Raw genomic sequence first — 17,585 nt, 5'->3', positions numbered from 1 at the left:
CATTTAAAATAATATGATCACAAATGTGTATGCTGTCCCTATGATCCAGCAGTCCCAAATTCCTACCAGAAGGCAAAATGTCAAGAAACATATATACATGCATTAAAAAAGTAAGTTTTAAAAATAAGATAAAGTTGTGGGGTGGGGGGAGTGGGGAGGGATAGCATTAGGAGATATACCTAATGCTAAATGACGAGTTAATGGGTGCAGCACACCAACATGGCACTTGTATACATATGTAACAAACCTGCACATTGTGCACATGTACCCTAAAACTTAAAGTATAATAATAATAAAATGTAAAAAAAGAGATACAGTAAAAATACTAATAATTTTTCCTGAAACAATGACAACATAGGTATGCTAGGTAAATCTTGCATAATTTCACATCCCAATGGTTTTAAGACATTTATACATTTATACAGAATGACTTAAGTAATGTATTTCTGATATTAAATAATCTCATTCAATTTTTATCTAAAGAACAATTGCCCTGAGATATTACACTGTGAATTAAAAATTGAAATGATGTATTATAATATGCTATGGACTTAATTTACGTCTTGGGTGACACTTAGAAGGGCTACTCCTGTAGTCAAGTAAGTTTATGGGTCCGTGTCCTGCCGACATGAGAATTTTTGAGAAACTATTGTAAAGTAGGACCAAAAAGTCATACTCTTTCTTCCCAATGTCCACAACTATTAGGCACTATCTTCTTTTTAAATAAATTAATTATTATTTTTTAAGATACAGGGTCTTGTTCTATTGCTCAGGCTGGAGTGCAGTGGTTCAGTCATAGCTGACTGCAGCCTCAAACTCCTGGGCCCATGTGATCCTCCTGCCTCAGTCTCCCAAAGTGCTGGGATTACAGGCATAAGCCACCATGCCTGGCTGGCACTATCTTCAATGAACATGCTGCTAGAATGAGTGAAGACCTAAAAAATTTAGTCAATGGCTTACTAATATAACAGTTTTCATTAATTTTTGGAAGTTTACTCTCTAAATTTGAAACCACCAAATAAATTATTATTATCTATCACATTAAAAGTGACCATAAACAGCTCATTCTTTGGCATGGTCCTTTTATATTCAGGGAGATTTAGTGCATTTCTCCTGAATCTCTGGTCATTAAAAGCACATTCATGTTCCCTATAAGGTGGAAGATAATAGTGTCTGTCTGCTTGCTTGTCTTCAACATTGCCCTGCCTGGGGCTTTTGGAGCTGCCTGGAAACATAAGAGGGAAAGCTTTATCGGATACAGATAAAGTAGTTCTTAGAAATGAGCAGGAAAGTGAGGGTCAAAAGGTGAGGGCAGATAACAAGGGGAATATAAACAGCCCTCAAGTAGCAGAGCTCCTAAGGACACTATCAATAACAATAGTAAACTTATCATTACTTTGAGAGATGCTACTTACTGCCCTACAGCCAGCTACAAGACTATGTTGGCTCATTATGTAGATTATGACATGACTACAACAACCTACAATGGTAGGTCTTTTACCCTAATTTTATATATTTTGTAACTGAGTCAGGTAAAATGAGTTGCTCAAGTCCAATAGTCACTAGAGGGCAGAGAAGGGATTAGAATTCAAATTTGTCCAGCTGCAAAGGCCATGCACTTTTGACCTCTCTGCCGTGTTCTTGCAGGTAGCTTTAGCAAGGGACTGGTTTTAGAAATGCAGAAGGAAACTGCGCTCTGCACTTAATGTATCAAGGCAAGGGCACAGAAGGAAAATAATAAATGTCATATGGAAAAAAGCTAACACATAAACTGTTTCAAAGAGATCTTTGTATTCTTGTAATTTTTTTTATCTTCTACTTTTCTACAAATTTTTTAAAATATGCCACAGACCACACATTATTTTATTCTGATAAGATGCCCAATAATAAACCTCAATCACACAGTAAAACCTTTAAACGTCAATGTTTGACCCAGTGTAAATGATCCATCCTGAAGCCTTTTTTTTTTTATTATACTTTAAGTTTTAGGGTACATGTGCACATTGTGCAGGTTAGTTACATATGTATACATGTGCCATGCTGGTGCGCTGCACCCACTAACTCGTCATCTAGCATTAGGTATATCTCCCAATGCTATCCCTCCCCCCTCCCCCACCCCACCACAGTCCCCAGAGTGTGATATTCCCCTTCCTGTGTCCATGTGATCTCATTGTTCAATTCCCACCTATGAGTGAGAATATGCGGTGTTTGGTTTTTTGTTCTTGTGATAGGAATTGGAAATCATCATTCTGAAGCCTTTTTTGTCTGAGGATGACTGCAGGGTCTCCACAATGCTCTGTCTTTTGACCACAAATTACATCTATCATGGGGACATGTTTATGTACTTGGCTGAATATGTGGGTTGGCAAAGTACAAACTGTGGCTGCTCGAAAGAAATTTAGTGAATTGTGGATGCCATCTTGATGTTTTGGTACTAGTATGAAAACCAAATACAATTTCATAATTTGTGGCTTTGACATCAGGATATTTGAAATAAACTCTCCATGTTTACGTGTGTTATATTTAATTTCTCTAATGGCTCAAGCTTATGTAATTTTGGTCTTCATCTTTACTTCTATCCCACATTCCAAACAGAAATTAGAGACCGAATTGAAGTACTATCTAATGTCATTTTAAATGACATATATTCTTGAGGAGTTTTTCAATATATATTGGTTTTGAATCTAACAACATATATATCAGAATACTGCTATCAATCATAATTCTGGTACTTATGTGTTATATAGTAAACACATATTTTGCTTTTCACATAGCTGATGAATGTTAAACCTGAACAAATCATTGATCTTGTGAATAATTTTTCTCTATCAGAAGAAATGTAAAACCAATTTGGAGTACTATATCTCTTCCATGGGAATTCTTGATTTTTTTTTAAATCTAAACTTTGATTTCATACTTCCTTCAGGGAGAATTCCCGCTATATGGAGAGTGATGCTGAAAACAGACATTTCAATTAAAAGTTGAGCAGTACTGCAGGCTTTCTGATAAGTAGAAAACTGCTCTACTTGGTTTTTAATACAAACTTCCTTTCTGATTCTTCAATCTGGACACTGTGATGCAGTCTTTGTTTCTACTGCTTGCCTATTGCTGACGATGCCATAACATTTAGAATTTTCTCTTTGTGGTGTCACATTTTGTGACCACAACTGCTAATATCTCTATATTATGAACAACTTCAAGACAGAGATGATATCCAAATTATGTTTTAGCTGTGTTGACTAATACCAAGCCTAGTGCATAGAAAGTACTCAACCTATAATGTTAAATGATTGAGTTATGCCTCCATTGTAGGCCCTGAATTTTTTCTTATTACAGAGCACAGGGGGTCTAAGGAAGAAGATGGTTAGAGGAAACCACTGTGACCTTCAGTGTGACCCCTGATATTTCTTTTTATTTTATTCTATATTGCATAATCTCTCTAACTTCTAGGAACCTGGACAAAGAAAGGGGTTATACCTTCCTATGATTACTTTTCCTCAGAAAATAGTTTTTTCCTATTAAAGAGATAATATTAAAAATTCATAATATAATATCAGAAGGCAATGATTTTACTACTCAGTCCAGGAGTCCTCCAACTAGTCCTGGTCCGACATTATTTTTTATTCTTCCGAGGTCTATTAATGGCCCTGGCCATATGGAAGAAAGTGTTTTTATTAGATGGTTGATTCCCCACTGCCTAGAGGTGTGCCTAATATATATGAGGTATATTAGGTACACATGAATGGATGCTTGCGTTGAAAATTGTTGAGTTCAATAAAACTCCTGCTGGGACAGCACGTTTGAGAACTGAAAGAGTAAAAACATCCCTATGATTAGAGTGAAAATCAGCTGAGGCAGAAAAATAACAAAACCTTTATTCAGATTCGTATGACAGACATGGATAATGCCAACTGTAAAGTTCACAGGAAACACTACCAAGATCACAGAGCTGCTGTAGAATGCCATCATGACCTCCTCACCAAGTGGATGGTGCTGTTACCAATGATGCCCCAGCTCTGCTCTTCTTGTCCCACCTATTAGTGGGAATACCCAATTGCTGGACTGCACTCCCCTCATGACAGCCCCAGCTCTAGTTAATTCCTGCTTCTCCTATTCCCACTTCAGAAACAGAACTAATCCAGATCTGACTGCCAGTTTATTTCCACCCTCCTCAGAATTCTTCAGCAGGAACTCAAACCTTACATAAGACACTTCTCCTTCGCACCTGCATGGTATTCCATGATTGCTCTGGTGTGTGTTTCCTTGCTACATCCAGTCAATAACTCTGGCTTTGTCGGACTACAGGTTTCTGTTTGATCTTTGGCTATTTAATTTTAACAGGACAAGCTGGCTAATATGAGTATCAATAAAGCAAGCAATGAGGCCGGGTGCGGTGGCTCACGCCTGTAATCCCAGCACTTTGGGAGGCCCAGGCGGGTGGATCACAAGGTCAGGAGTTCGAGACCATCCTGGCTAACACGGTGAAACCCCGTTTCTACTAAAAATACAAAAAAGTAGCCGGGCTTGGTGGCAGGCACCTATAGTCCCAGCTACTCGGGAGGCTGAGGCAGGAGAATGGCGTGAACCCGGGAGGCAGAGCTTGCAGTGAGCGGAGATGGCGCCACTGCACTCCAGCCCGGGCGACAGAGCGAGACTCCGTCTCAAAAAAATAAAAAAATAAAATAAAGCAAGCAATGAGTGCCTGTCCTAGTAGGAGCCACAAGGATATATTGGGAACAGTATCACATGGCAGCTGAGTCAGACGTTCTGGAAACAGGCAAAGCAAAGTTCAAACTCTACCTCTGCCTTTTACTGGCTGCATAATCTGGGTAATCTTGAGCATGTTCTTTAATTTTTTTAATTTGAAAAAATTAAAAAAAAATTAAACCTTTTTCCTTCAACTATAAAATAGGGATAATAATATGTCTCATGGCATCTATCTATCTATCTATCTATCTATCTATCTAGAGAGGTAGCATAACCTTTCTTCAGAAGTAATTATATGTGGAAATCCATTATTGAACTGGGTGAAAGGGGGATGCTTTACTCAAAGATGGGTTTAAGAGCAGGAAACCACCAGATTTTTGTCTTCTCTATTTTCATGCTGGCACCTGTACTTCCCGCAACTCTATCACCCCATGGAACATGTGGGACTCTGCTTATCACGGTTTGAAAACAACTGCTTTATGTAAAGCATTTCAGAAATGCATGATTAATAGATAACTCCCAGTAAATGGTAGCAATTCCTACTACATTTCATGAAGTTTATTTCTTGTTCTAGACCTGCACTGTATTTCTGGAAAAGTAGTTGGATAAAATAAAGCAAACAATGGCATAAGCTGGGCATACTGAGTTTTTCTGTAAGAGTCTAGCTTCCAGCTCCAGTGTTTGTGTAGCATGGTAGTCAGGGATCTTTGGTTTTAAGAAACAGAACCCCAACCTAACAGCTGATGTTTTACAGGCACACTGGAGCAGATAATTGAATGCCTGCATCTTCCAAGTCTCTGGCTTTCACCTCTTGTTCTTTTACAATTTGCCTCACATTGTTTTTTTTTTTTTTTTTGAGATGGAGTCTCACTCAGTCGCCCAGGCTGCAGTGCAGTGGCGCGATCTCGGCTAACTGAAAGCTCTGCCTCCCGGGTTCACGCCATTCTCCTGCCTCAGCCTCCCGAGTAGCTGGGACTACAGGCGCCCGCCACCATGCCCGGCTAATTTTTGTATTTTTAGTAGAGATGGGGTTTCACTGTGCTAGCCAGGATGGTCTCAACTCCTGACCTCGTGATCCGCCCGCCTCGGCTTCCCAAAATGCTGGGATTACAGGCGTGAGCTACCGCGCCCGGCCTGTTGCCTCACATTCTCAGACTGACTTCTCTCAAGAGAGATATGAGCTCCTAGCTCACATCACGTATTCTTAAGAACAAACAGACTGGGCTATCGTTTTACCCCAACACTAATGAAAAATTCTTAAGGAAAGGCTCTGCTTTGCAAACATCAGGTCACACACCTATCCCCAGACCAATAACTGTGGCTGAGTTAGTGGCTTCTTTGATTGAACTAGTTTGGAGAAGCTTTCCATCACTCAACCAATCACTCTGGCCAAGGAAGCAGGGCCATGTAAGAAGATGGTAGCTTTCATTCTTATCTCAGGAGGAACGGTACTTTGCCCAGTGAAAGGGCTGTGTGGATCCAGGAGCAAAAGAGGAGTTCTGGGGCAAAAAAGAGACTACTCTCATCTAAAAAGTGCAAATAAATGCATGTTGAGAATCATCAAAGCAACAGAGGATAATCAGTATCTCCCAAACTTGTTGACCACAGTAACTTTCTATCAAGGACCATCACACAGGAATTATATTCTGCCCATAGCTGTGGAAAAGTACGTTTTCTGGTAAATTTGTGGTAATTGGAAAAACGTGTTTCAGGACTTTGCTCACCTGTATCATTTAAAACCTCTCTAATTTGCCTTTCTCAGCTTTTAGCTATTTTCCCAATTGCTTGAGGCTAATCAACACAAGAAAAGCAAGTGCTCTCTTTAGCTACTGAAGACAACACTTTCAGTGAACTTGTCAGAGTACTGGATCCATTTTTATGAGTAACCACTGGGACGCAGTCAAGGTAGGTGCAGCGTTCGAATTTTTCAGCATTTTTTATCTTATTTATTTGTACAGAAAGGCCTGGTGTGAGTTTGCCACTTTGCAAATTTAGTCACTCATAAGAATTTGTCTGAAAAAATGGTAAATTTATGGTGAAGAGCTTTGTTTTGGACTTAGTCTAATCAGTTGGGAATTTTCTGGGGTTCTTTTACTGGTGGTGTTCCATTCTGCAAATTACTGAATTGTGTTTGTTTCTCCATTGGATTGCTGTCAGAACTAGGTGAGGAAATCAGTTAGGTATTTATTTTATTAAATTTTGTGGCAGAAATATATAAAAACAAACATTAAAAGAAGAAGAGGTATGTTTTACTTTGAGACACTGAAATCTACTTTATTGTATGGTTAATTTTCTGACAATGATAATTTTAAAAAATTCATGCAGTCCCATTTACTTCCTTGAATTAACACTTGGTCAATGTGAAGCTATTGAGGTAAAAACAAATGTTTTAAATGTATTAACTGAGATTTTATGAAATGTCTGAAACAAAGGAATCTTTGAATTATTGCTTGATTCATTTTTAGCATTTCTGTCTCATCTTTGTCTCTTTCTCCTTGCACATTTTCTCTTGCATAATTTTTTTCTTTCCAGGTTTCCATCCTGTCTAAATGTTATCAACAATGCAAGTATAGACTAGAGTTGAGATGTAAAACTTGCAAATCTGTAAGGTAGAAAAGTTGTACTTGCCTGGAAACTAGCATACAATTTTCAGTAACACTGCTGTAATTCAGTGAGGTTACTGTTAACATTTTCTTTGAACTATATATCAAAATTGTTATTTTTATGAATGGTCTAATGTTAACAAAGGAGGTGTCTTTTTAGAAAGTTAGCTGAATTGGCTTCAAACCAGTTTCTTGGGGAAAACGTTAATGTAATTTTCAATTTTAGATTATTATAAGCATTAACTTCATGACTTTGACAAAATAAAGTAATGGATAGTCACACTAATTGGTTTTAAGAGTTTCTAAAGAAGAGACCCAAAGAGAAATCAGAAAATAAAATGGGTTTGATCTTTGAGGTTCAGCAGAATTTTTGCACATTTGATGATTTTTGTTTTTTCCCTAAAATATCTATTTTATGATATTGTCTGTGTATCAGCTTGCTTATTTTGCTTTTGATGATTTTATTTCCCTTTGCCTACTTGAGATAGCAACACTCAAATACTAAGCTAGGTAGAGAAGAAAAAAGACAGCTTAAGACCTACCTCTAGTTCTGTCAATAGCTAGTTATATAACTTTAGCAACAGAGAATATTTGGGCTCAAGACATGGTTCTGATGCTTCTGTGATCTTTGGCTGTTTTACTTCTCAAGGATGTGGATTTTCCTTCTGTAAAATGATAGGGTTTAATGTTATAAGTTTTAAGGTTCCTACTACAGCCCTGAGTCTGTAATTCTAGGCAAACCATAATATATTTGAGAATATCAAGCATTGAGCCATAAAATTTGCAAACATATTTGTTACATTTTCCCTTATTTATGCTAATCAAAGTTGATATTAGTTTATAAATATACATTAAGTGCTTGATCATCTAAGTGCTAGTGGCTTCGGTGGGTTTTTCCATCCAGTGAAGCCCACTAATCTTTCTGCTCCTATTCGTTTGGCAATTGTGAACCCAAACCCACATGCCAAGCAAAATAGATCTTTGTTTGTTTGGCAGAGGTACATGGTTTTCTGGCAGCTTATCCTGGCAGTTGTATTTGTTCCTTACTGTTGACTCTGGCCCTTTCCCTGTCAGAAAACACCAGATCACCAGGATGCATTTCCTCTTTGAGAAAGGAGTGAGCATTTCCAATAGAGTGATGACCAGTTGATTTGCTGGGAAATATAAAAGCAACTTCTAGCTTTTATAAGAAGCTGGCCAATAAGCACATGCTCAACAAGCCCAATTTTGATATTTTGGGGCAAGGTGAGACCATAATTATGAGGACTTTTAAAACTGGCTTACCTACTTCTTTAGAAATGCAAGGTGACATTTACACAAAAGCATGAGACTTGAGGTGAGACAATTCTATCTGCATACTGTTACCACTCACTTGAGTGTGTGGCCTCTCATAAGGTACTAAATCTCTCTGTGCTCCATTTACTTATTTGTAAAATTGGGAGTCTAATACTTACATAATGGGGTTAAAATGCAAAGTAAAAACCATCTATGAATTGTGAATTTGCAATATTAAATGTAGTTCATTCATTTAAAAAGATATTTGATTTTTTAGTGAGTATTTAGTGAGAACATACTCAGTCTGGAATAAGACAGAAGAGACTCAGACCTTGGTATCTGGGTTCTGTTCTATAGAATACATAGAATTATGTATAATGGGTTTCATGGGTTTGTTTTATTCCCAACGTATACAAAATATTTTATAAATAACATTCAAGTTTTTAATTTGTGATTAATTAACCAACAACCAGAGCCAGTTTATTAGGTAATCTGTGCACTTGGCTTTGGAAATAGCTATTTGACAGAATGTTCTCACATTTACAGCCCCAACTTTGTGAAATACACTGAGTTATCACCAGGAGTAACTTTTCTCAGCCTCAATCAAAGTTAGAAAGACTGGCAACTTCAAATGCCCATTCCATTTTGCCATACTTATAAAAACAAGTGCTAAATTATTCCTTCCACTGCCTCTACCTTGCCTTCTCCAAATTAGTTTTTGAGGCAAAGAGACAAGTAGAACCAGAGAGAAAGTTTGAAAATTTACATGTTCCACTATGCCAAGGTTAATGGTTCCTCTTCAGTGCAAGTCTTGAAGGACCAGTTGAGCACTGTGACTAGGACTTCTTGGACATTTTCAACAGATACATGGCCCTGTGGGTTTATTTACATACAAAGAAAGACTGTCCCTTGCAATCATCCCCCACCACAAAAATTGCTCGTTCTATTGCTTTGCTTCTCTTTTTTTGTGGAGACTGGCTGGTGTTTGTGGGTATTGACAATAAAGAGAAAGAGTGAAACTAACTGGCCATGAGACTCAATTTTCCTTAAAATTATTTCATTTATTCATAAGATTCTGGACAGCCTGATCCATAATATGTCATTAACAAATATCTGTTCATTTTTTTTTTCCGACAAACTCACTCAGTTGCCTGAGTGAGTGCAAAGATGCGATCACAGCTCACCAAAGCCTTTACTTCCCAGGCTCAAGTGATCCTCTCACTTCAGCCTTCTGAGTAGATGGGATTAGAGACATGCATGACCATTCCCAGCTAAGTTTTTATATTTTTCGTAGATATAGGGTCTCACAATGTTGCCCAGGCTGGTCTGGAACTCCTGGATTCAAGCAATCCTCTCACCTCGACCCTGCAAAGTACTCGGATTACAGGCTCAGGCCACTGCACTTGGCCTGTTCAATGGATTTTTTAATTCTTTTAAACCACTTAGTAAGTGCCTAATTTGTCTAGGACACATTACAACATTTATTTTACTAAATTCTTATAAGATACAGTTAAAGTATGTATCATTATTTGTATTTACAGATTAGGGACCTAGGGCTTATATTTACATACCTAAAAGACAGTAAACTTAGGTATTGAACATAAACCAGAATCTAAGCCCAGTACTATTTCCTCTACATCCTGGCTGCTTCATAAACATCTTTAAACATTACTAGAGAATGCAGTGATGCCGCCTTCCTTAATGTAATGAGTTGAGAGTTGAAAATGACTAGAGGTTTCTAAAAGCCTCAATAGCAATGACAGCCAATAATCCCATTCTCTCACTGGTTTCAAATGGTGATGCAGAGACAGAACTACCCTGGAAACTTTCTCAGGATAAAACTGGGGCAAAAAGTTCTGTTGGTCTTCAGTCATCTTTGGCTTTGAGGCTATGACAAATGAGTGATTCACCTGTTTGAGGCTGTATTTTGGTATTTGGTATTAAGATCGGTATTTGGTATTAAGGGCATTAAGATTTGGTATTTGGTATTAAGATTTTTCTCCTAGTGTATTGGTATTTGGTATTTGCTATTAAGATTTTTCTTCTTTTTATGACCTTGAATTCATTTGTTTGTTAGATCTTGGGACCTTATTTCACAATTCAGTGTCATCCATCTATCAAAAAGGATTAATTGGTGTCTCTCTGTTTTGCTATATGCACATGAAGTTCTTATAAGAAATTGTCCAAATTCATTGAATCACTGAAACTATTAAGAGGATCATAACAAGCTGAATCTTCTCTTTGTACTTTCACAGCAGAAATAATTTTTCAGCTATTTTAACTATAGTCTGAAGTGTGTAAGGAGTCACTGGCTAGAATTGGACATTGACTAGTCTAAAAAATTTCTAAGAGATTGTGCTTGTTCAGTTTCTCAACCTGAAGATATAAAATAATTCTAATCACCTTGGATTGTATCTGCACAGAATTTCCTTGGTTCTGTTTATATATTTTTCAGACTTCCTTCTTTTCTGAAAAGGCTCATCCTTAGTCATAGTTTCATGGTGTTAAACCTTGAAATTTTAAGTTCTTTTCAAATTCTTTTTAAGTTAAAAAAAGGGGAAAAAAAGATTAACTTTCATCACTTTTGCAGGAGTTTATTTATAAAATCAGCAGAGTAGTTACTTCTTTCTAACCATTTGGAATTCTGGGAAATTCTTTAAGAAACCATTTTGTTTACATTGAACAAATCAAATTCCCACAAGTGAATGGAACTGAAATTCCTTCAATACCAGCATTTCTATCAGTATTGCCAGGCTTCTTTTATTCATTCCATCATACAATTTTTGGTTATTATTGCTTTTTCTCTTTTCAAGACTTGTGTCTTATTATACTCATTTATCTTGACAGTGGAAACAGGGACTTTTAGGTGTTTGTCAATGATGATATAGTAACATGTATGAAGTAATTCATAATGAATTTTCTAGGTGTTGAGAGAAATGTTAGGAAACCTAAAAAGAAGCTTGGGAGCATTGACTCATTTTGGATTTACTATGTCTTACCTGGATTGTTTTATCTCTTGTTCACTTTACCTGTTTTTCCATGTTGAGGTTCTTGCGTTTGTCACAGGACCACTTCTCTCTCCCTCTATACTCCCTATTCCTGCCACTACTCCTATAAAAATTGTCCATCCTCCTGCACTACTTAGTTCAGTTCATGAGGTACCATGCACTTAATTATTCATAATAGAAAATGCCGTCATTTGCAAAGTGCTTTTTCTTCCTCGCCTGTAATATATCAACTTGGGTGCCAAGTCCAACTGATTTGATCTCCAGTATAGCTCTAGAATCTCTCACGACTCTTCACCTTTATTGCCTGTGCATTAGAAGTTTAGGATCTCATCATCTCATGCTTATGTATAAGAAAAGCAAAATATAAAAATAAAAAAAATCACGCCAAAACGCCAGAAAACAAAAAGCAAAGACCACAAACTTAATCTTCTCCCTTTTCACAGTCTAAATATAACTTATACTCCAATCATACCTCTCTACCTTTATTTCTTAATCTTCCATTCCAAATTCATCAAATAAGATTTAAAATCAAGCAATCAGCCCATCTAAACCAATATCCACTAAAGTGCTTAATTCAGAAATATGAACAGAGTCTTATGTTGATATTGCATATTCTGAGAATTACATTGTTAGCTAGCCATAGGTTGATTTTTTAATACATATCAAAAATATTTCACCGAGCTAAATTAGTTGCACATTAAACTTTAATAATATTTTCCTTGTAAAGGGTCTACTAATGTACATGTGAGATTTTTAAGTGTTATTTATCACCTTTCTTCCTTTTTGTAGTGATCATGGTCTATTTTAAGTTAAGCCTGTGTTTAGAATATAATCTTGGACCAGGAATACATGGCTCTTTCTTTAGAGGAAATAAAATATTATCTAAATATTTATAAATAATATCTAAATATTTATAATAATATTTATAAATATCTAAATATAATAATATAAATATCTAAATATTTATAATATAAATATCTTAATATTTATAAATATCTAAATATAATATTTATAAATATCTAAATATAATATTTATAAATATCTAAATATTTATAATATTTATAAATATCTAAATATTTATAATATTTATAAATATCTAAATATTTATAATATTTATAAATATCATTTATAAATATCTAAATATTTATAATATTTATAAATATCTAAATATTTATAATATTTATAAATATCTAAATATTATAAATATTTATAAATATCTAAATATTATAAATATTTATAAATATCTAAATATAATATTTATAAATATCCAAATATTTATAATATAATAAATTATGATCTAAATGTTATATTTAGATAATACTTTAATTGGACTATATAATTGGTGCTTTAAATATGTTAGTTTTAACTGAGTCAGATGAATTTTCCACTTGTACGGATGGAGTCTAGAAGATTAAAAGAAAGTAATCTGAGTTTATTTAATTTTTTCCTCCTCCAAGAATCATGTGGATTCTGTCTGTTTAGATAATGGCAGAAGCTATGTCAGGTCCTCTCCCAAATAGTTAACAAAATTTGGTTTGGAGTTGGAGTGCTAGAAATTTTAGCTGTGCCTATCTGGCATTCACTATTTATTCTGCAATATAGTAGTTACTTATAGAATGACCTGTGTATTTCTGGGTATCTCTGTTTCTCTTCTCTTGTTGCTATGTCATGTCCCAATATCAGGTTCTTGCTAAAAATTGCCATATGGAACTAATCCCATCCTAACATAGTATACAGATTAAGAGCACATGCTTTAGTGTTAGAACTAAATCATTTGAATTCTGGCTCCTAGCTTAACCAGCTGTAGGACTTTGGACAAGTTACATAAACTCTCTGAATTTCAGTGACTTCATCAGTAAAATGGTGATAGTAACAATTAGCTAATTGTGTTATTTTAACAAAGATACAGAGTGCATTGCTATTATAAATAAATATTTCATGATTGGTGGCTCTTTGTATTATTATAGCTGGAAAATTATTTTCTAACCTACTTTGTTTGTTGAAAAATGAGTGCCAATTGTCTGTGGTCTCTGCAGGCCACATTCCAAAGATTTCTGGTAATGGACTCAGGAAAGAAGTATCTGGCCAGGCCCAGACTAAAGGGCATTAGAAGGTATTTAGGATTTAGGGTACCACTTAATCCAAGCCGGGAGGAATCAGGGCTCTTCTGACTACAACTTAACTACTCTGCATCTCCAAGGTTGTGCAAACTCAAAAGAAGATCTAGGTACTGAGGTACCCGTGCTTCTTCAAAGTAAGAGCAAATCCGTGGCTGTAATGTCCCTGTGTGGGAAGCTGAGAGGGAAGAGAGAGGAAGTCACTGCTGAGAAAGGTACATTGACATGATCCAACTTATAGATAAAGATGCTAGTTGTTTTAACTAAGTGGGCAGGAACCATCTAAATGTGATTAAAATGTGAGTTTCTATCCAAGTCATTTTTCTTTCTTTAGGATTGCTTCTCAGTTTTAATATAACAGGAAAAAACTTAACTGCCAAACCTCCATTCATGAATTTCAATTTAATAAGAACCCACTACTTCTGTGGTCAGTACTGGGTGCAGAAATGGCCTTTCTTCTTCTCAAGAGATCTTGGTTGAATGATAGTAAACCACAACTGTAGTACGGTGTGGTAAACACAATTGCACTTAGAATGCCAAAGATATGAGGGGAGCAAAAAGGAGGGTACTTCCAGGTGGCAGCAGAAAAGGGGTTTCCTGGAGGAGGAGGAAAACACACTAAGGAAGAAGAGATGGGGCAAAATATATGAATGGGTTTTAGAAACACCCACTGTCGTGATGATAACAAAATATTTACCAAGAAATGCATTGTGAAAAAGGGAGAAGCTAGTGAAAGTTATCCTGGATATTCACAAAAAGTAAACTCTTATTCTAAGCCACTGCTTATAATACTCTAAATTAATGTAAAGTTATAGTTGATCCTCTCATGTATATTAATTTCCATTTCATTAATTCATAGACCAATCCAAGATAATAAAAAAAATAATTCCCTTAAAACTTCAACATATTTTATCATCGTCTAGGACATTAATTTTATAGAAGGCAAATACATATTCTATTAGACTATATTTCAAACACAGTTGTGCAAATGTCAGAGAAGTTATTAACCTAGAAGAAAACCAAAACAAAAATATTTGCTACTTGGAATGATGCCTAATCTTCAGTTTTAAAACTTGCAATGTTGGATTTCGTCTAATTAAAAATGGCTGACGATAAACCACAAATGACATACTGTTCATTGACCATGCAGCAGAGCTGTGTAGAAAATATATTAAATGATTGAAACAATATTTTAAAATTAACACATATAAATGAAAATTCATCAAATTTGCAAAAATATATTGCATGACTTGACATTCTCTAAATCACATAAGTACATTCAAGTACATCTAATAACTAGAGAATGAGTTCTTTAAATGTGACATGGCAACTGATAGTGTAATTTAAAGACATTATTCTATGTGAAGTACCTTATTTGTGTGCTAGCTTACAGAATGTATTAGTAACTGCTGAAGATCAATAAAATAATTGAGCAACTGCTATGTTCTGTGATAAGTGCTTTGGTTTATATTATCAATAGGTTAATTATAAAGATAGGAAACTTGTTTATGTTTAAAATGAGGAGAGAATTACCATTTCTCTCTTTGCTAAAGCAGATACTCTAATCATATTTTCACCATGATTTTTCATCTTGTGTATAACTAACCTTGCCTCATACATGTTATGTTCCATGAAAAATAGGTAAGATATTAGGCATTGACAACAATATCTACTTAATTTGTAGAAAAATGTTTATAGTCAAATATGTTCTAGGAAATATGTATAATACTATGTTTACTAGTGCCTGTAATATAGTTGCCTTATTTTTTCCCAATATCGATGCTATAACTCCTAGCAAAATTTATTACTAATTTTATCATTCTCAAATTTTAGAAAAATAAATCTTATACCAGAAAGGATAGTATAGAGACTTTAAGGCACTATATAGTCCTAAATAATCAAGTAGCAATAAGAAAGCATACTCATTTTCACTTTAATTTGAGAATAATATAACTTCTCTTTCTTTGAGGAAAGGGAATTAGCCTCTAAAATTCAGATATAAAATGTTTCCTTTTATATTTATTTTATCTGGCTTATAGAATATTGATTAGTGTTTTACAAGTTTCCATGAACACAATTAAGAGCTGGCATACAATATATATTTTTAAAGAATGAAAGAACAAGAAGACAATAGAGTTTTGGGGACTTTTGCCTTAGTGGTACACTGTATTTATTTTAAAAATGGGTAAAAAAGGATTAAAAAGTCAGAGTAAGAAAATGCTAAGTTAAATAATTCTTTATTCCTTTAACTGAATCCAAAGTTCAACAAGTATAATAATAAATATGAGCTAGCATTATATTATTTGTAATGACATTTAAATATATGTTAGTTATTTTAAAATCTGTTAAAGATTAGTTAAAAGTTCTTGATGACGACAGTTTTCAGTCCCAGGAGCAAAAGCAAAAAGAATAACATGTGGCTGCAGAGAGCTACAAAAGATATGTTCAAACATCTAAATCATCAATATAAAGGGCAACATAATTAACAAAATTACAAAATAACAAGAGTTTCCAGGAATAAGCCACCTTATAAAGAACTGACACTGCATTATTGGCAAATATATATATATATATATATATATATATATATATATATATTTAGTGAAAACATGAAAGAGACAAAATCTAAATAAATTTTGTCTGTGAACTACTTTTTCCTCTACATCAAATTCATTTTGGGTATCATATATCCATGGCAGTGTATTTATATGTTTAGAAGTTTAGTCAGCCATTCATAGTGACTCTATAAAAAGAAAGAATGTCTTTTTATTTATAAAAACCAAGGCTTTCTAAAAATAAACTCAGACTATATAATGTCACGAAAGCACTTGGGATACTTGAAAGAATGTAAGAATTATGAAGACTATATTTTTCAAATGTGATGGCATCATTATTTTTTCTACTTCAAATATTTCTCTATCAAATTGGTTTGCTTTATATTTTAGACTTCTGCTTGGATTATAATATCTATGTAGTCTTAGGATCACACATGCCAGTTCTCTATTTTCTAAGCACATTTATTTTACTAAATATGTAAGTGCTTTTTAATTCATTTTTCTTCTTGTGTCCATTTTATTTTAAGAATTTTCTCTTTAGATTTTATTGGCTCTCACATTTTAGATGCATTCTTTATAACTTTAAATAATATTTCAAGAATTCTTTTTGGCTTAAATTTAATTATAAAGCATATACTGGAAATCCGATTCATGTTTTGTAGTTCTTGAGGATAAATAAATGTTCTTAAGACATTTACTATTGAAGTCTTCCAGATATTGTAATCCAACAGTATTTATCTAGAGAACTTTTTTTGCTAGTTAAATTGAAAAAACAAACACTGAGTCAAAATGGTTTGCCAGGTTCTTTGGGGGATAAAATATAAATATTTACTTATAAGTTATAGGCTACTTCATTCTAAAAAGACTTTCTGATAGTTTACAAAGATAGATAAAGTATGATAAAGAAAACAAATAAGAAAATTGAGAGGAAAAAAGATAAAGTTAGGAAACATGATACAAAATAAGAGGTAATACCAAAATAGCAGCAACATCAACTAAAGCTAGTACAAATATTGCTAATATTTATTGTGTCTGTGTTGTTCCAGGCACTTTTTAAAGCCACTGCATATATATTCAGACATTTTAAAGTAAAATATACAATACTTTATATATTTTGCTATAGGCATGTAGCAGATTTGGCTCTGAGCTTTGGCCATGCAGTGCAAACACGGAAATACATCAGCCATTGAGTTTCCAATGTCTTTATCCAAAAGATAAAAACAAGTAATGTCTCAGGAAGAGCTTATCTACTTCTGGTCTTAAGACCAGAGACAAAGTTTATGGAACAGTCTAGTTGGGCAGATATCCGGGATATAAACT

At 34.6% G+C, this 17,585-nt stretch overlaps 1 protein-coding gene across 6 annotated transcripts in view; it reads right to left on the bottom strand.

Annotated features, from left to right (window-relative positions):
• The window catches only part of CNTN1 (contactin 1), a 379,977-nt gene that overhangs the window by 2,679 nt on the left and 359,713 nt on the right, over nt 1–17,585 (bottom strand). The gene's annotated exons all lie outside the window — the stretch shown is intronic.

The sequence above is a fragment of the Homo sapiens genome, chromosome 12, assembly GCF_000001405.40.
Source record: "Homo sapiens chromosome 12, GRCh38.p14 Primary Assembly".
Taxonomy (NCBI): Eukaryota; Metazoa; Chordata; class Mammalia; order Primates; family Hominidae; genus Homo; species Homo sapiens.
Note: the sequence above shows the minus strand (reverse complement) of the source record. Positions and strands in the feature narration are given on the sequence as shown.